General features: G+C 36.0%; 1 long non-coding RNA gene and 1 pseudogene across 7 annotated transcripts in view; one reads left to right on the plus strand and one right to left on the minus strand.

The window, feature by feature from the left end:
• The window catches only part of LINC01709 (long intergenic non-protein coding RNA 1709), a 147,996-nt gene that overhangs the window by 73,287 nt on the left and 53,780 nt on the right, over positions 1-20,929 (plus strand). For 4 of the 7 annotated variants that reach the window (NR_183474.1, NR_183476.1, NR_183473.1 and 1 more), the window contains one exon: positions 10,882-11,015. This is a non-coding gene — a long non-coding RNA (long intergenic non-protein coding RNA 1709). Of the gene's footprint in view, positions 1-10,881; positions 11,016-16,410; positions 16,677-20,929 lie in introns of those variants that run through there. The other 3 variants (NR_183470.1, NR_183471.1, NR_183472.1) reach the window with 1 other exon arrangement.
• On the minus strand, positions 15,782-15,877 carry RNU6-965P (RNA, U6 small nuclear 965, pseudogene; annotated as a pseudogene).

The following is a 20,929-nucleotide window of genomic DNA, read 5'->3' on the forward strand; positions in this document are numbered from 1 at the left end:
TGGGATGTTGGTAAGTGTAGACAGGGGGATTATCTGAGCTATTTATCCCTATTTTTATCCTCCAGACCAATTTTCATTTTAATTTATGTTATAATTTACTGCATTTGAAAATCTTAGGCATATATTAAATACATCTCTCTTTGTCTCTTTGTCTTTCTCTCTGTTTCTGTCTTTCTCTCTGTCTCTGTCTCTCTCTGTTTCTCTCTCTTTGGGTAGGCTGTGATAGTTACTTGTTTTGTGTCTTTTTTTTCTAGCTCTCGTTTTCTTCAAGTTCAGTATTTTTCATTTTAATGCAATGTAAACATTATGGACACTATGCCTGTCTTGGAGTCATTTTTGTTATTGGAAGAGTTTCTGACTCCTCGGAGATGAGTACTAGATAAGCCATAATTGTACTAGTACAGAGTTTAAAGGCATGGCAGTACTATGATTGGGTTAATACTTTACTACCTTCCTCCTGCTTCTAATTCATTTCTCCCAAAACAATTAAGAAATGTCTCAGAAGTCCTATTCATACATCTTCACCATCCTAGTAGAGGGAGAGAGAAACAGTAAAAAATAACTAAAATGGTTCTACCACTCTGCACTTAATGAGCATCTGTAAGAAATATTTAATATTTGAAGAGCTTTTAAATAATTTTTTTGGTAGAAAAATATCCAGAATCTTCTTTTAATAAGCACATCTAGAGAAACAGCTCATTGAATGGTTTTCAACAGTTAAGGTTTTTCTTTCTTAAAAGAGATTTATCATAATTAGTATGTTCAAATTATCATTGCAGTAGAAATTGGCATCTTCACACTGAACAACATTCATATTTCATGTAGATTAGAATTTTTTTTTCTTAAGATCAACGTGAATTAGTGTTAAAATTTGCTGCTTGTATTTTGTAGGTATATAGTCCCAGGGGTAATTAGTAAGGCAATCACAATCTTAACCTCACAGACCATAAACTTGAACCTATTAAATGTGTGTGTGCATGCGTGTGTTGCACCCCTAGTTTCTCTTTCCCCATGGCAGAGGGTGGTGGTGGTGGTGTAAGAGGTTAACATGAAGGGAGGAAGGTGGGACCTCAAATGGATCAGATTGTGGAGGACTCAATCAATAAGTATTATGCACAATTAAAACACTCAGTGGTAACCATTGGGAAAATTTTTGTTTTGCTAATAAAGTTATTGTTAGGATTAGTGCTTAAATTTACAAAATAATTCCCTTAGACCTTGAGTAAAAGGAATAGTGCTGTTCTTTTAAAGTTGTATTATAAAACCACAAGTTGTTTTCTTTTTCCTTCCCAAACTATATTGGCAACTTACAGCAGTAGCATAAACAATATTATTAGCAGGTATAAAGAAAAAAAGGTAGTGATAGAAGACAGTCTGGCAGCATTTAAAAAAAAAAGAAACCAGACAGGAAGAATCCAGTTACGCTTAGCTAAAAGAGAGTGTCCCTGTGGTAAAAATATTTCACAAATTCTGTTCCCATTGCCAGGCTTATCCAGAAAGTGGCAAAGACTCCCAGACTATCTTATTTGGGTATTTTTAATAAGACTGTCTAAATACTTTTAGTACTAATTTAGACCATGTAAATTTAGGATTATCACAGCCTTTTTTAAAAGTTGGATTATAAGAGAAAGAATGCTTTAGATACATTCTCTAAAATTCAGGTCTTACAGCAATTATGTTTCTCATAATTAATAAATTACATTCCCGTGTCTACTTCAATTTTCAATGCATTTTAGTTGGCTTAATGTATGTAATAAAAAATCCCATGAGCCTTTAAAGCATAGACTTAGTTTTTAGAATCCAACAAGCTAACTAATGCGGTTCCTGGTTTGAATCAGCTTTCTCTTGGCTCAATCATTTGTATTGTTTTTGGGGTTAAGGTCTTCACTTTGCCACTCTGAGGAAGACTATGCAATCTCTCACTAAATACACACACACACACACACACACCTCCCATAATTCTATATATTCTTTCTTTGTATACAATTTCAAAGGAATCTTGGGACTCTGAAGCTCACTCATTTGCTTGAGAATTAGGAACTTTCTACCTCACTGTAGTTTGAGTTTAAGCTTCTCTCTTGCTCCATTTTGTGCTACTATACCAAATACCTGGGGTTGAGGAATTTATAAAGAAAAGAGGTTTATTTCTTACAGTTCTGGAGGCTGGAAAGTCTAAGGTTGAGAAACCCAGATCTGGTGAGGGCTTTCTCACGTGTCATCCCATGGTGGAAGACAGAAAACAAGAGAGCTCGCACAATGTTGTGGGGGGATTGGGTGAGGGAAGGGGGATGAATTCAGTCTTTTACTAGAAACCCAGGTAAACCCAGCCCTCATGAATGAATCACCTTTTAAAGAAACCTGTCTACACTGTTGGCTTTAGGGATTAAGCTTCCAATGCATGAATTTGGGGGACACATTCAAACTATAGAAGCTTCTAAATGATGCTCAAAGTTTGATTTTATGCCCAGCCACCCCAAAGAGGAGAAATGTTCATCCTCACTAGCCAATAGTCCCTGGTGATTGGATTTCCAAAATGATTGAAACGTTAAGCACATCCATCCATTGATTGGATTCTTTCTTTAGCCTCTTTGTTGCAAGTAGCTGAAATGGAAAGGGCATCTCTCTTTTTCTTGCCAGAATTCTTCTCTTTTTTCCATGAGGTGGAGAAGGTAAGCACTGCTCCATTCCTCCAGTCATCACATACTCAGTCATTGGGATATATACCTCCAGCTGTTTTTTTCTCTTTTCCTTTGTCTTTTTTTTTTTTAAATCTGTGTGTATTCTTCTCACTCGTCTTTTTATATTTTTATTACAGATATATGTAATCATAAATAATAGCCAACATTTATAGTACTTTTATTATACCAGTCAGTTGTCATTATTCTGATGGCACACACACACACACACACACACACACACCCCACACACAATTTAGTCTTCACAATGATCCTCTGAGGTAGATACTGTCATTATTCCCAAATTAGTTATGAGAAAACTGAAGCCCAAAATGTTTCTTGCCCAAAATCACAGTTAGGAAATGATGGAGTTGTCTCCAGATTTTATATTCTTAATCAATATGTTTTTGTTTTTTCATGAAATATGAAATCATGAATGATATTTATTTATTTATTTATTTATTTTGCCTGAAGTATCTCCTTTAACATGTCTTGTAGTGCAGGTTGCCTGGTGATGAGTTCTTTCATCTTTTGTATGTCTAAAAACACTTTACTTTGTCTTTATTTTCTGCTAGGCATATTCATTGGGTATAGAATTCTAGATTTACAGTGTCCCCTTTCCCAATACTTAAAATATACTGCTCCACTGTCTTCTTACTTGCATTATTTCCAATAAGAAATCTGATATGATTCCTAGGTTTGTTTCTTTCTGCATAACATGTCTTTTTCTCCGGTGCTTTTATGATTTTCTCTCTATCACTGCTTTTAAGCAATTTTGATTAAGCTATACATTGGTATTGTTTTATTCATGTTTCTTGATTTGAGTTTCATTGAGATTCTTGAATATGTGGATCAACATTTTCCATCAGGCCTGGCAGGGCGGCTCATGCCTGTAATCCCAGCACTTTGGGAGGCTAAGGTGGGTGGATCATTTGAGGTCAGGAGTTTGAGACCAGCTTGGCCAACATGGTGAGATCCCATCTCTACTAAAAATACAAAACTTAGCCAGGTGTGGTGGTGGACACCTGTAATTCCAGCTACTTGGGAGGCTGAGGTAGGAGAATCGCTTGAACCTGGGAGGTGGAGGTTGCAGTGAGCCAAGATTGTGCCACTGAACCCCAGCTTGAGAGACATACTGAGACTCTTGTCTCAAAAAAAAAAATTCCATCTCCATCAAGTTCGTAAATATTTTGGTCATTATTTATTCAAATATTATTTTGGTTCTCCAATCCCATCCTTTGAGGACTTCAAATGAAATTGTTCTATAGCTTTGTGATGCTCTTTGTATTTTTAAAAATGTATTTTTAAAAATGTATTTTTCTCTGTATGTTTCATTTTGGATGTCTATATTTATATACCTTCAAGTTCCCCAATCTTTTATTTCACAATGTCTAATCTACCACTAATCCTGGCTAATATACTTTAAATTTCCAGCATGGTCATTTGCATTTTTAGAAACTCAATTGAATTCTTTTTTTAGCATCTGCTACGTCTTCTTTTAACTTCTTTTAACTTTTTGGACATATGGAATGTCATTATCATGAGGGTTTCAATGTCTTTGTTTGCTAATTCTAATGTCTATGTCAATTCTGGGTCAATTTCACCTAATTCATTATTCTCCTTATTATGGCTTATGCTTTCCTAAATTTTTTACATGCCTGGTACTCTAATTAAAAGCTAGATATTGTGAATTTCACCTTGTTTGGTGCTGGATAATTTTGTACTTCTATAAATCTTTTACAATTTGTTTTTAACTACTTGGAAATGGTTTGATCTTTTTGGAACTGGTGCATTATAAAAATAATTTGTCAGTAGCTTAGGAGCACTGTTTAGTCTATAATTAATTTTCAGCTATTGAGGCACTACCTTCCTGGGCACTCTACCCAGTGTCCTGTGAAATCAGAGGTTTTGCAGTCTGGTTGGTCAGAACACAAACATTTCTTGGCCCTATGTGAATGTTGGACCCTACTTATTCTAATTATTTTGGACAGTGTTTTCTAGCCTTGGACAATTTTCTCACACACTTGCTTTGATCTAGTGATCTACTGATCTACTGCTGAATGCCAATAAGGGTGGGATGTGAAGGTGGAATGTGGCCCTCTACAGAGGAGTAGGGGCGTTTCTCTGTACAGCTGTATCTTCCTTGGTTAACTTTTTCTTTGAACACTAGCTGTCTTAATTCTCCAGGAATCTCAGCTCTGTCTCTTCACCTCATGGAGTCTGCCAGGTTTCACCCTCAGTTCCTTCCCTGTCATAGTTTAAAATCTCTTTCAAGGCCAATAAGATGGGGCTCACCTCATTTGTTTTTTTGTTTTTGTTTGCTTGTTTTTTCAATTGTTTAAGGAGGGAGGGTGAGGGGTAAATTTGATCTCTGTTATTCCATCTTGGCTGAAAATGTATGACAATTATATATTTTTTTAATTAAAATATTACCTATATGTTTTCACTTTGTACATACTCTTTTGAAACTTACTTTTTCTACTCAATCATATATGTCAAGATTTATACCTCCAGACTCATTAGTGTATTTCATTTTAACTGTTATTTAGTAGACATATTATGCTAATACTTGTTTTCTTATCAATAACTTTGCATATTTTCAACCAGTTGCCATTATTATAATGGAGCAGTTCACATTACGAATTTTCAGATTTTTTATCTGTAAAATGCTGATAGCAATAGCAGAGTTGTTATCAGAATTATAAAATGTGTCTTATGTTGTTCAAAAGGAGCAAAAGTGCACAACAGATACTCAGTAAGTTTTAAATTATTCTAAGATGGCTTTCTCTCCCTTTTTTTCCTATTAATCTAATTCCTCTTCTCTTTCTTTCTACTTTATCTTGCCTTTTTGGATTGATCAAACAAGGCTAACTAACTCATTAAACCCAGTAAGTAATTACAGGTCAACAGTCATTTTATGAGCTACAGGAATGAGCAAGAGAGGCAATCCAAGTGACACCATGTGAATTGTTTTGACTGAACTTTTTGGTTTTTAAAATCCTGGCCTTCTAGGACTCAACTTTTCTCCTAGTAGCAGGAAATATAAGGAAGACCTTAGGGAAAGGCCACAAATAGTACTTCAAAGCACTGTAGTTCCTTGGAGAGGTAGGAAGCAGGGCACTAAATCGTGTTGCCAAGGTGTACAGAGATTGCCTTTCTCTGTATCTGCCTAATTTGCTCCTGGAGGAGCTAATTCTTTTTACATTTTGGAAATCAAAGCTCCATGGATAAATACTGCTTTTTCTGACCTTATGTTTTTTTTTCTAGACTTCATTTAAAACATCTCAAATCAGATCAAAGGGAACACAAGGCTGTGCATTTAGATATCCAGTTGAAGTCATTTTCTTAGTAGTTTTCCTACCACCTATGTTTTCCTCCTCCCACTATCTGCATTTTGCTGCCAGGCTCATCTTCCATAAGTGAACTTCACAGACATGGATGATTCCCCATCGTCTCCTAAATGGAACACAATAGTCTCAACCAGCTTTCAATCCTCTGCACACTGTGATCTATAAGATATCTTTTCATATTTATGCTCTGGTGATACCCTTCCAGTACCCTGCATTTCAACTCCATAGGACTGTTGACTTATGGCTGCTGTAAGTGGCTGTGCAGTAGTGAACTGCACAAAGGCAGAAGGGTAAGGGGACTGAAACTCAGCGTGCGCTCTGGCCTAGCTACACACTTTCAGAGTTGTGTCCGCGCAAAGGAGGTGCTTTTTTTCTACTCTGAAGGAAAACGAGATAAGGCCGAGTTTGTCCTGTTAACTCATGGTCCTGTTAACTCAATGCTCACCAAACACAACTTAAACTATTTCCTGTATCTGTCTGTGTCTTTGCTCATGCTCATTATTTTCTGTAGATTCCCAACCTCTTTTTTCGTCAATAAATTCTTTTTTCATCCAATCCACTAAAGCTGTCAAAGCGTTACTGCTGATCTGATACTAGTGCTTATGGTTTTAATCTTCTCTTTGGTAATTTTTTGGTTGACTTCCCTCTTAAATCCCTCTTCTTTTGGTTTCTATGTCATGTCACTTTCCTTATTTTCTTTTAAATATCTGACTAGTCGTATTTGGGCTTTCTTGGATTCCTCTCACCCCACCTCATTTCTTGATTCTTAAGTGTTATTATTCTTCAGGTTTTTGGTCTTTATATTTATTGTACCTGGCCTATATGTTCTCCCTGTTTGATCACATTTTCTAGCATGTCTTCAACTCGCATCTATGACTTGACTCTCAAATCTTTCTTGAGCTCCAGACCTACGTCTCCAACTGCCTGCTCAGGCATCTCTTCTTGCATGTATCCCTAAATCAATGTCTAAAACAGTATTGAATGTCCACTTTCAAAGTATCTCATCAACTTGTATTTCTATCCCAGTTCCTGGCAGCACAATATACCAGTTTCCCAAATTATAGTTAGGTAATTCTTTCCCTCCTCTCTACTCCTGACAGTCAACCAATTTTCAAGGCAATTCTACCTTTGAATGTTTCTCATCATCCCTTCTTCTTGTCTATCCCAACTGCTATTGCTTTAGTTCAAACGTTCATCTTCTTAAGGCTAGACTATTACAAAACACTCCTCTTTTACATTTCTTGTGCTTCTTGATATTTCAGCCCATCCTGCACATTGCTGACCTAATTACATTTCTAAAACATTGATTTATCATGTCCTCATCCCATCCCCTGGTTTAGGATCAAAATACAAAGCACCAATTAATTGAAAGCCCATTCTCCTAAACACAGTGCTAAACACTTCACATACGTTTGTTGTCTCATATAAAGTGCACAGTAATCCTGATGCAAAGATAATATTATGTTAGAGATTAAGAAAGCTCACAAGTACAAATAATTTTCTCACACAGAAATGGCAAAGCAGTGTTTCAAAGATAAGTTACTCAGATTACAAAGCCTCAATCTGCCTTCTAACCCTTACTGCCCCTTCCGAGATTTGTACCTTAACGTGACTATTTCATGTTTGGATAGCCTTGTCAAGTTACTTAGTATAATAAGAATAATGACAATATAAAACTCATAGGAATTTTTTTCTTAAGAAAAATGAAATACATATGAAGTACTTGAAAATAATAAGTGCTATGCAGATATAAGTTATTATTACAGACACTTCAAGTTCCTGATGGTAATTTTCTAAAAGTTTCTTGATTTGCCAGGTTGAATTGATTCTTGTTTCTTTCAGTGCACTCATTGCTGTTGGTGCCTAGCTCAGTTTATTTTACTTACTTACAATTTTTTCTCTGCATAACTGAGTTTTTTTAGAACAAAGGCTGTGTCTCCATCATTGCTATATACCCAGGACCTATCAAATTACCTGACAGAGTAGATTGAACACCATCTGCCAGCCAAAATGAAAAACAAAAATCTTAGTTAAAATTCATGCAATAGCTTGAAAAATATTTAAACCCAGAAAGATATCCTGTTCACTTTCAAAGTCAGTAAAGGTTTATAGAGAGCAGAGACTGAATTTCAAAGAGAAGATTTGAGAAAAGAAATAAATAGACAGATTAGATTCTCAATTCAAATATAAAGCCTTTAAAATATTACTGTTGTAGATCTTTTTAAATAGCCCTTTCAAATTGTCAAACAACAACAATTTATTAAAAGTTAAGAAATAGACTCCCTGCTACTTCATCTGAACCTGCGGTAGAAATAATATGCTGTTGGTTCCTAGATTTTTAAGGGTCTATGAATGTGGATGTAAAATTCTAGGGTGTTTTTAATATTTTAATAATCTTCTTGAAATTGCTTAATTCCCTGAATTAGATGGTCTGGCTAACAAAATATGTTTTCTTTTCTGTGGGCTAGAAGTAAAGCAGCACATTTTGAAAGTAATAGGTAATGATTGGCTTCTGATGATATCACAGAAATTATTAGAACAAGTTAGGAGATTAAACACTGTGACTAGAACCCCATGAAATGGTCACTGTAATGAACTGAACATGTCCTATGTGTGATAAACCTTGGATACAAACGCTAAGTGACAGTAAAAATGAGCTACTGGTAGCACTGAAAAATGCTAAGTGTCTGTCAACTTATTTATTACTTCTTAGTATTACAACTAACTTGTTAAATCATAAAAATATTATGAAATCACAAATACAGAATGTAGGGTTAAAATCTGAATAAGTGTAAGAAAAGATAGGGCTAAACATTAATAAATATAGTTTTGTAAGCAGACAAATTCTTTCAGATTATGTTGTCCATAAAGCAATAATAAAAGGAAAATTTAGTGATGAAAACATTGATACATTTCCATGAAAATGCATAAATTTTAATGGTATAGTAAACTTATTCTTACTGAATGAATGTACCAGCATATGCACCTAAATGAAAATATAAAACATTACTTGCATCTCAGGAAACTTTCTCATAGGTGCTCCCAGTACTTACGCACTGAGCCCCTGTCCCAGCTCTGGCAAAAGGTAACCACTATTCTGACTTTAATACCACATATTAGATTTGCCTCTCTATGTACTTTATGAGATCAAATAATTCAGTTTGTATTTTTGTCTTTGACTTTTTACACTCTGTATTATGCCTGTGGTATTCATCTGTGTGATGGTATATTATAGTAGTGTGCTCCTCATCATTGTTATATGGTGCCCCATTGTTTGAAAACACACTGAAAAATGTTCTCCTGTTGATGGACAATTGGGCTTTTTCCAAGTTTTAGCTATTGATGATAATGCCGCTATGAGCATTCTAATATGTATTAATATCTGTATGTATCTGTTGCTGCATATCTGTACACATTTTGGTTGAGTATATAATTAGAGTGGACTTGTTAAACAATATGAATGCACGTGGTCAGAGTTTGTATAATAGATTCTGTAAGTTTTCCAAAGTGGTTTTTCTACTTTTATTTCAACTAGCAGGGAGTGAGAGTTCCTGTTGTTCCATATCTTAACAGTTAGCATTGTCAGATTGATGGATTGATGGATTGATGGATAAAATTTTATTCATTCTAGTGGGTAGGTGGTAATATCTCATTTCAAACTCAGCTATAATTCTTTTATTTATCTCCTCTTTTCACAGATTGTGGTTTAGTATTAATGATGTCTCGTAGTTCTCATAGTGTTATTGTTTGTTTTCTTATTTTTACCAGTTCTATTTTGTTTAGTCCAATTTCTGCTACCAAGTACCACCGAGTATTGTTGTTGTTCCTGAATTTTATGTTTATCATAATAAAGACATCAATTTTCAATTTCTTTGCAAATAATTTGTTCTTACTCATTTGGCATGTTATTGATCTAATGAAAATTTCAGAGTAAAGAATAGGGGGTTGTGGGGTATATGCTAATTTGGAATGAATGCCCTATGCATATTTTCCCAAGATAATTCAAAGATTTGAATTTATTTTCCTCTAGCACTTCTGATTGATGTTGAGTCAGAGAAGGCTAGCGGACACCAGTCAGTGGCTGCAGAACCAGCAATAACCAAGCCCTTTATACAAGCATTTTTATGCTCTCCATGAAATAGAATGGTTAGAATGAATTTTTAAGAAGTAGATGTGGCTTCTTGAATTTATCTTTCCCGTCCACTAACTTAATACAGATCAACATGGTGACCTTGGAAGATGGTGGTGGCATAGGTAGAAGCAACCTACTTTTCTGAGTTACTATTTGGAGGGGAGTCTTCCACAGATTAGGAGCATTAGGACTATGTAGGAGTGAGTAATAAACTTCTAATGTGTTTGGGCCACTTAAAATTTGGGGGTTTGTTTGTTACATCATCTAGCTTTTAATTAATATAAAAATTGGAACTTTGAAAAAGAGTTATTTCTCCAACAAATAATTAAAATATGTGGCATTGGCTTGATAATCACTAGAGGGCAAGAAAATGCATATTAGAGGCTGGAAAAATGACAATCTATATTTTGCAGTGACAAAACATTTGGTAAAACTGCAAATCACCTGGAAGCTAATCAATTGTTTATAGGTCTGTAACTCTAGGAGTACAGACACCTGATTGTGTACTAGTTGCTTCTTATAGCACATGGAAATGTATTATTAAAACAAAACAAAAAGTATAAGAACAACTGGCAGTTTGAAAGCAGAAATGAAACGGTGTAGAACGATTCTGAAAGCTTTAGGGCTTGTAGAGTTGGAAAAATTGTCAGCTTCTACATTCCAAACAGCAAGAAATGAAACTGAAAACAGCGTTGAACAATAAGAAGTTATTAATATTTTTCAGGTAAACAGCCCTGGGACAAAGAACAGACTACGGGTATTGCCTTCTTAATCAACAATAAAGTATTAGTTGGCTTCCAGGCAGACACCACTGACTTTCAAGAGAAAGGCACGGGAGTAAGGAAGTAAAGAATTCAGGTAGGCTTGAAAATTATACTCAAGAAAGAAAATTGGTCCTAGTTACTTGTACATGGAAACAACTGGAAATAAATAAATTAGAATCTACTAAGATTTTGAGGGATTCTAATTGTTAAAATCCTTATGAACTGGCCAAGAAAAAGCCTATGACTATAATACTCTTTTCCAGTCCTCAAACTTGCACCAGCAGGAAAGAGTTTCTGGAAGTTGTATAGGTCCCCAAAACTGGCTCACTCTTCAATATTCACAGAAGATAAGGTACAAGGACAAACTTCTCAGGGCTGGAACCAGAGACAAAAGACAACGACGGGCAAGAGAGTTTTTTTTTTACCAGGCAGCAGGTTTATAGTCTAATCTGTGAATATTCTCTACTGACAAATAGGAGAACGCCTACCCAGCAGGAGTTAGCTATTTCTGTAGAGTTTTACTGTTTTCCCTTTTCTTTTCCAGTTGGGAGTTTTTAATTATAGTCCTCCTATCCCTCCTCCTCTATCATATATTGAGAGAAAGACAGAGAGAAGCGGGGGAAGGGAGGAGGATGTGGAAGTAGAAACTGATTTGTCTGTTAATGTGTAGGAGCCATTAGGACCTGGTGAAGAAGGCTGTATTTCACCAGGACATTCTCAACTTCGATTTGGTAAAAGTTTCTTGATGGGATTTTGGAAGATCTCTCTTGGCCAGGGCTTGACTATGTCCTATGTGTGAGGGAAATAGATGGCCAGAGGGGTGGACTATTTAAAATAAGACTAGTAGAGCCCTTCAAAATTGTGTGTCTCCTTCTATAATGTCCATAATGTGGAGTTGTTGCTAAGATGTGGTTTCCAATCCAGCAAATACTTTCCCCTACTTTGTTTTTTTTTTTTTTTTTTGTTTTTTTTTTGAGACGGAGTCTCGCTTTGTCGCTCAGGCTGGAGTGCAGTGGCGCGATCTCGGCTCACTGCAAGCTCCGCCTCCCGGGTTCACGCCATTCTCCTGCCTCAGTCTCCTGAGTAGCTGGGACTACAGGCGCCCACCACAACGCCCCGCCAATTTTTTGTATTTTTAGTAGAGACGGGGTTTCACTTGTTTAGCCAGGATGGTCTCGATCTCCTGACCTCGTGATCCGCCCGCCTCGGCCTCCCAAAGTGCCTACTTTACGTTTTACTTTTCAGCTAGATTTTTAAAGAAGCAGGTGTGCCTTTTTCACTGGCTTTTTCACCTTCTCTCATCTTGGTTTCAGGGAGCATGACAACCCTGTAAGCCACATATTGAAGATGGCAGAACCATAAGACCGAAGGAGTTTGTGTCCTTGAATTATTACTTTAGGGAAAGCTTCCAGTCAATCAGGAACACCTTTGTTTTTTAGAGGAAGAAATAAAATTTAAATGTGTATGAGCTGTTTTTAGATTGATTTGTTACAATAAGCTAATGTTACTTAAATAATAAGGCATGATTTTGTGTTTATTTTTAATTTTACTATAAGGAAAATGTTACAGATAAGAAGTACTTTAGTGACATTTAGGTGGTTAGGTGCCAGGGTGAAGGGAGGTCTGTAGTGATGTATCCTGAGATCCTGTCCTGTCTGACTTGTATGACATGCTTTGCAATTATGTTGCAATTATTTGACTGGAAACCTATAAAGAAGTCATGTTTGCAAGAGCTATCAACAATGAAAATTAATTGATTACAAATTGATTATAATTTTATTTTTATGTGAGAAGTCAACATACTTAAGTTTCACATAGGAGAAAAGAAAGATAATTGCTGTTTTTATGTTTAACAAGATGAGTAAATACAGGATGAAGAACATGTGACTCAACAGCAGTTCATATAAAATATCCTGAGGTTTTTCATTGGCCACAAATTCAATACAAACAAAAAATACCATTCAGTTGTTAAGAAAAGAAAGTAAACATCCCTTTATATTTTTGATGAAATAGAAATCGAGGATTTAATAGACACATTTTAATAAGGGTCGATACAACCACATCTGCGTATTCAGTTCCAGACCCTGTATTTTAAAAATAAACATTTTGATGTAAGTGGGGTTGTGGCTACATTGTGGAAGTTTCCCTAGCCTTCTCATTTTACAAACATTTGAGAGAACTGAAGATGTATGTCCTGGAGAAGCAATAACTAAAAAAAGACTTAATATCTGCATTCCAAGGTTCAAAGCTATCACATAAAGTTGTATCTACTGTGGCTTCAAATGCCAGAAGTTTCATCAATTCAAAGAAACTGGAGGGGATCTTTTAAACTTTTTTCTCTGACAGATCTTTCAAAGAGAGTTGTTGTTTCATAAAGTACTGAGGAATCTGTCATGGAAAACATACAAATAGAAATCAACCAGCCCTGTGCCAGAATGATTGCAGCAAGCATTTCTTTTTGAGTAAGTTAGACTATGTATCTCCAAGGTAGTGGTTCCCAACATTTTCCAAATCATGGCACAAAAGAAAGAAATATTTGTGTCTCACAGTGTGATTAATTGTGATAGGCCATTTAAAGTGAGACACAATTGGCTGAAGCTCAGCCCATCCCACTCCCTGTTGGTGGCTGGAAAGCTCTCTCCACTCACCTCTAACCTTTTCAGAGTACACCATTGTGTTGTGGCACATGAGTTGGAAGAACTTTACTCAAGTCATATCCAACTCTAAGACTGCATGATTCTCCATTAGAGGATGGAAAGATCCTTTGTTTTCCCAGCAAGAAATGGCTTCCATTTTAGAAACTAAATGGCAGGAAATAGAACAAATGTAGATGAAATGTATTCTTGCTTCTGATTCTTATATCATTGCTACAGGGTTCTGATCCTCAAATCTGAAACTGGGCAAATAATTCTGGATTTTTATTATTCCGGGAACTTGTCTCCAAAACCAGGGTACTACTTCATAATAAGTCAATTACTTATTCTGTGCAAAGAAGTAAGGAGAAACAAATCAGAATATTTGATCTGTAGCAAAGAAATAACAGCTTCTGCAGAAGAAAGCATATTGAGCAGAATGCTAGAATAACAAATGATAATGTCCTTTTCAAAGGGAGCTAACAGAGCTGCAAGATCTTGGACTATGTCCATATTTAGTTTCCCATGTCAGTTCTGAATTTTTAGCTGCTTAGATCTAAGTTTTATTTCAGCTGGAAGGATTGTAACTATTTATGTCATATTGAAGATATCAAGTGGGCAACCAATTTATGACTACATATCAAGGGAAATTATATTATACATTTAGCCATGAGCTCAATTTTTTCCACTAAGAAAGTCTTCCTTGCTAGAGGACTACTTGTCTTTTTCAAAAACACGGCTTCTTGGATCTCAACTCTTTTGTAAAATCTTTAAGATGAGAGAAAGGGATGAAGGATCTTGTCAGAAAGAGAAAACAGATCTCCCATGTCCAATACATGTTTGTTCTGGATTTTCATCATTTAAAAATTTTTGTCATTTTATACAAATAATGCAAATTAGTAATAATTTGCTAACAATGTTATGGTTATTTCTTATTTTCCATTTTTTTGGTAACAACTGCTATAGTTTGGATTTCTGTTGAATTAATATTTATTTATTTCTTATTTCTCACAGATCACCCTCTTAGATTATTTCTAAATGTTAGGACAACTCTGATACCTGCCCTCTGAATCACTCGCCATCATTTCTCTGCCCTTTCAAACAAGAGTAATCAATTTATCCTTGCATTCTGCCAGATCCTGTTTTTCATTCGTATGCTCTTTCACACAAACACCTCCTTTGTTCTGTTTTTCACATTTTCTATGTTCCTACTAATTTATTTTTGTCTGTGTGATCTATGAGTTATTGGAAGATGTATATTAAATCTTTTGATAATGGATGTATTAGTTTATACTTGTGGGCGTTTGTGTTGGTTTTTGCTTTACATACAGTCCATTCTCATTGTTTTTAATAGTTCTGTTTTATAAAGTTGCTGTGAGTACTGAAATAGTGAATGTCGAACCATTATTCTGAGGGGAAATACAGGGTTAGGTTCCTGTGAGTCTCTGGTCAGAATATTTCCATCAACTGACCAACACATAAGTTTGTGTGTGTGTGTGTGGTTTTATTTAAAGGTACTTTATTTAGCATACATTGTTGATTCATTAACACAGAATTTATGGCCAACGGCATCATAAATCATGCTTGAACAAAGCTTATCTAATACAAGTATTTTCTTTATAAGGTACATTATAGCCTGCTTATGAAAACTAGACAGAATTTCAGCATTACACTTAGGGGCCGTTTTAAACTGTGAAATCACCAAGAAAAAGCACAAATGTGAAAGACGCAGAACTACATAGACCGTGAAAAGAACACCTGGTTACAGTGTGAGAGCTGAAACAAGAAAGCAGAACGTCACTTTCTTCAGCCTCAACTGGGAAGGTGCATTTAGGGCAACTCAAATGTTTTGCTACTCTGTACATGTCTGAAAATGACCACAAAAGTCCTATGACTATTGCTTTTGGGGTTAGAAATAAATTTCAGTGAGTGGGAGAATTTGCAAATATGGAAACCCCAAATAGCGAAGATTGCCTGTATTTGAAACTGCTATTAGGTGCATATAAGTTTAGAATTATTATACCTTCCCAGTGAATTCAACCTCTTATAAATAAGGAGTGAATTTCTTATTTCTAGTAATGTTATCTGCCTTAAAGTGTATTATATTTGGTATTAACTCTGTATCAGCTTTCTCTTGATTAACATATGCCAATCTTTTTTACATTCAACTTTCCTGTCCTTGTGTGTTTTTTTTAAAGATGTATCCTCTTAAACATCTTTAATTGTACAGTACATAGACAACACCACTAATTTGCATGTCATCTTTATGCAGGAATCATGCTAATAATTCTGGTTTTTGTATATGTGCTGTCCAAGTGAGCACTGTACTTATGTTTTAAGTCTTCCTTTTAAAAAGAGCTTTTGGATGTACTTAAAAAAAAACAGTCTTTAAAAGTAAAAAACCTTCTGTCTTTCATTGGAAATTTTAGTCCTTTTATAGTTACTGTGATTAACTATTTGGATTCATTTCTATCCTATTATTTTGTGCTTTCTGTTTTTCCCATTTGTACTATATTTTTTCTTTCTTTTTTTGTCTTTATTTGTATTGATGAAACTTTTTCTTGTCTTCTATTTTTTCTTCTAACTGCAGAAAGAATTTTTAGCTATTGACTCAATTTATCTAATATATGTAAGACCGATCTAATTTCTATTTTATCTTGAATCAGTTTAGAGACTATGTTCATTTCTTTTCTTGCAATGGTTATCACAGATATGTTAGCATGTATATTTTATTTAGGGAAAATCGAATGGAACCAGGCACCAACATTTGAACATTACTTATATTAGAATTATTAGCTCTAAGGAAATTTACTTCATTATTTGTGGAGAAGAGTCTAATGATTTTTTTTTTTTTAGGGCAAACGTCGAGCTTTCCTCTGGGCTCCAATGTAAAAGAAGTGGATAGCGGCTGACTAGTGTACATATTATGTATGCAGACTTTGAAGGAATCCCCCTTGTTTTTAGCTGTTCTTCCATTGCTCCTGGAGACTCTGAGCTCAGAGATTTTCTAGGCTCTGATGGGCAGAGTGGCTCGTTTCCTCCCTGAAGTTTCCTTCATGCCACATTCTGGATTACAACCTCCTCCAAAGAGTGTCATCTGTCAATATAATGTCATCTCTTGATTTCTCTGTTTTCTTTTCTTCACTATAATAGGTAATTCTATGTTTTAGCAGAGCTAAATACATCGCCTTCATCTTCAATCCTGGAGACTAATTCCTTATTGAAAACAAACTTTACTATTTTATTATTTATTACTATTATTATTACTAATAATAAATATTACTATTTATTATTAAAAAAGTAATAAGGTACATTTTAGTTACTTGGACTATAGAGAAATTATAGAAAAAATTAAAAATCCACCCACAATCTTGTAATCTAGAGATTACCATTGTCAATATTTCTGTATTTCTCTAGTATTCCTACAACATACATTTCAAGGTGTCTAGGGTGAGCCAGAGCTTAGATTTTAAGAATAGGTTGACATGTGTACTGGAAGGTTTAAAATGTTAGCTTCATCAATAACAAGGTGTATGGCTTAGGGTAAATCTCTTAGTCATTCTGGACTGTTTCCTCTCCTGTACAATGGAAATAATAATATCTAATTGGCTTATTGTAAGCAATACATGAATTAACACATGTAAAATGAGTAGAAGAGTGCCATGCACAAAATAAAGACTATATAAATGTTAGCCATTTTTATCCCTTCTACCCATGCAACTGCAAATGAGAGCTTTGTAAGTGAGGAAATTCATCCATCTTTATATGAATCTTGCCTACCTTGTTATAGCAGCTGGTTTTGGCATGGCCAGTTGAACCTAGTGGGAACCATCACATTAGTTGCTGACTTGGGAGAATAAACTGACTAGATGAAGAGAAGAGAGAGAGTTTTTGTGGTGCTAGCTCCAGTTACCCTGATACTTTTTGCACTCTTTGTGCTTCTGTATCTTATCTTCTTGTGGCTCTGTTAGGTGAGCAAAATCTTCCTTTTGCCTATCCAATTTACAGTATTTTCAGAGTCAAATCAAAGAGTCTTGAAGAATACATTTATTTTCCTGGATATCAATATTTTCCTGGATATCATTTATTAGACAAACATTTCTACTATAAATATTAAAGACTTTGCACACGTATACCCACCTAATGTTTACCACAGTCCTATGTAATATGTATTATAATCGCCACTTAATATTCAAGGTTACTGTGACACAGAGAAGTTAAGAAACATTCTAAAGCAGGGAGTCTAGGTCCAAAATCTATGTTTTTAACTGCTATGCCATGTTGACATGCCCCAGTCACTTGGACTACACTCCAATTTGCAATATGCAAAGAGAATGTAGATTCCTTTGATAGAATTTACACACCAAAGAATCTTATGAACCAACATCAGTCTGCTTACCAACTCTCTCTCACACACGCACTGAGTAGAGATGAATCACTAAATTAGTCTAATCCAGTAAAATTATTCCTTCCTAATATTTTAATTAGTGCCTTTATTTTTTTCCCTTGCCTACCATCTCCTCCAGGTGACATCTGATTGTATAAAGGATATTTATTTATTTGAGATTTTGTCTCAGAAGCGAGTCCAGAAAGAAAGGAGCTCTGCCTGGGGTTTCCTTTTCTGCCTGTGTGGGTGATGGTATGTTTGGGTGATGGTATGTTTGGGTGATGGTAGGGGCAGGACTCCTGCGTACCAGGGTTGTAGTATGGTTCTTAAAGCTGATCAGCGACTTTTTTTTTTTATTATATTATACCTTTCCTCTACTTACTTGAGAAAATAAGCTTCATATGCTAGGGGACATGCTTTATAGAAAAATAATATTTTATAAATTATTTTTATTCTAACTGTAATATGGCCATTCTAGTTTTCTGTGGGTATTCTTTTATCTAAAATGTGTATTTTTTTTTTTTTTAAGACGGAGTCTCTCTCTGTTGCTCAGGTTGGAATGCAGTGGCATGATCTCGGCACACTGCAACCTCCCCTCCTGGGTTTAAGCAATTCTCCTGCCTCAGTCTCCTAAGTAGCTGGGACTACAGGCGCATGCCATCATGCCTGGCTAATTTGTTGTAGTTTAGTAGAGACAGCATTTCACCATGTTGCCCAGGCTGGTCTCAAACTCCTGAGCTCACGCAATCCACCTGCCTCGGCCTCCCAAAGTGCTGGGATTACAGGTGTGAGCCACCGCACCTGGCCATTCTTTATTTATTTATTTTTTCCCATCAGTTTGATTTAGTAAGTTTCTTATAAGAAACCAGCTTTATTTTGTTTAAAACCCCAAGTCATGCTTTTGCTTTTTAATTGATATGTTTAATTGCCAGAGTGTGTACAAGTTCTCCATTAATTTTGCCTGTGATTTGGTGGGATATTTTGATTTTTAACCTTAAGCCAGATCCTTTTGTATCTCTGCTGTCATGGCAGGCCATTCCCTTTTGTCATATACAGATCATGCTCTCTTAAACATCCCCACAAATTTTCTTCTGTCTTTTGAAGAAGACGATTTTCAGTGATATGTTTTTCTTCTCAGACTTCAAAGCAAAGGCTACTTCTCCTTGATTTTAGGTATCTTTTCAGAAACCACATGACATTTTTCTGTTCCCTCCACTCACTCCTGAATAAAAATTTTTCATTATCCAACAAGTGGATGGGTAATGACTGCAGTGTTCCTAGCCTATTTTAATGTCCACTTGCGTGCTGGCATCTAGCTCTGAAAGACACTTTTGTGTTCTTGACCCTTAGCTCTATTTGTTGAGTACCATGGCCATTTGTATACAGAGGCCTGCTAGGGGGGCTTCTCTCTGCTTCAGTTGTGGGTATCTTTTCCTTGTTAAGTGGATCATATGCATTAGCTGTTCTGCTTTATAAGTGAGGAAAATGAAAGACTAAACACAGTAATGATATCAGTGCTTCTATCTCTCCTTTTAATATTCTTCTGTATATAACTCAACAGTCCTGCATGCAGTGTGCACAGCCATGCAGTTCCACTTCCTGTCACATTGTATACTGGGAGTTTCAATCTCTGTCTGACTTTGTAAATAAAGGCTCTGACAGGGGAGCGGCTGAGAGGAGGACAAGGTTCAGAGTTAAGTTGCTCGTAATTCCAGTGCAGTTGAGGTAGGTCTTTTTTAAATGGTTGGTGTATCACTTGCATTCTGGGATTAGTAGTACATGGCTGGAGTTAGTCAAAATGTTATATCTAACAGTCTTAGGGTCTTCTGTATTCTGATGAGGTTTGTGGAATATATCCAGACCTTTCACCCAAGTCCACTAAATATCACCATCAGTAAAATCGTAGTTTAAATAAGAGAATATGGCATTCCCAAAGCTTTGATTTATAATGCCATTAAAAATTTTCATCTTTTGGCCAGGCATGGTGGCTCACGCCTGTAATCCCAGCACTTTGGGAGGCCAAGGCAGGAGGATCACGAGGTCAGGAGATCGAGACCATCCTGGCTAACACGGTGAAACCCCGTCTCTACTAAAAACACAAAAAAATTAGCCAGGTGTGGTGGTGGGCGCCTGTAGTCCCAGCTACTTGGAAGGCTGGGGCAAGAGAATGGCATGAACCTGGGAGGCGGAGCTTGCAGTGAGCCGGGATTGCGCCACTGCACTCCAGCCTGGGCGACAGAGCGAGACTCCGTCTCAAAAAAAAAAAAGTTTTCATCTTTTTATGTCTCTTTGTGGATTGTTAGTGTAGTGCTTTATTGCTATTCTGATAACCTGTTAACATGAGGACTTACCATCTCATCTTTATTCTCAGTCTGATTATATATTTACACCACCTCCTCCTTGAAGGATATAGTACCCAAAGCATGAAAGAATGTATTTGGAGAACAATTGGATATATGGAGTTAACAAATCCTTGTTTGGTAAATTTATCTATCAGTTCATTTGTATATCAATTTATCTACCATCAGATATCAGAAGATTTAATGGTCTTTTAAGTTGAGAGAAAGAGCATGTGCAAAATTGGGAAACCAACCATCACATCACATTCCATCATGTAATAAGAATACCTAGATGTTTGGTGCTGCTTTAAATGTGAACAGAGTAATGGGAACTGAATTTACTAAGGCAGGATGAAACCAGACTTGCTAAGCTGGTGTTTGGACTTTACCCTGTTGGCAGTGTGGAAACAATGAAGGTAATTAAACACCAGAGTGACTTGGTTCAGATTTGTATCTCAGGGATTTAGCAACTGAGGCATCCACTGATCAGCTGGAAAGTGCAGGGACCACAGACAGGACTACCAGCTTGGAAACTGTTATAATAACTTAGGTGAGAGTTTCTAAGGGCCCACATTAAGACAGTGGTCTCATGAAGGTTGGAGAACAGCGGAGGTGAGAGATTTAAGAAATACTTAGCTGATAGACCAAT

Source organism: Homo sapiens, chromosome 1 (assembly GCF_000001405.40).
Source record: "Homo sapiens chromosome 1, GRCh38.p14 Primary Assembly".
NCBI classification, from domain to species: Eukaryota; Metazoa; Chordata; class Mammalia; order Primates; family Hominidae; genus Homo; species Homo sapiens.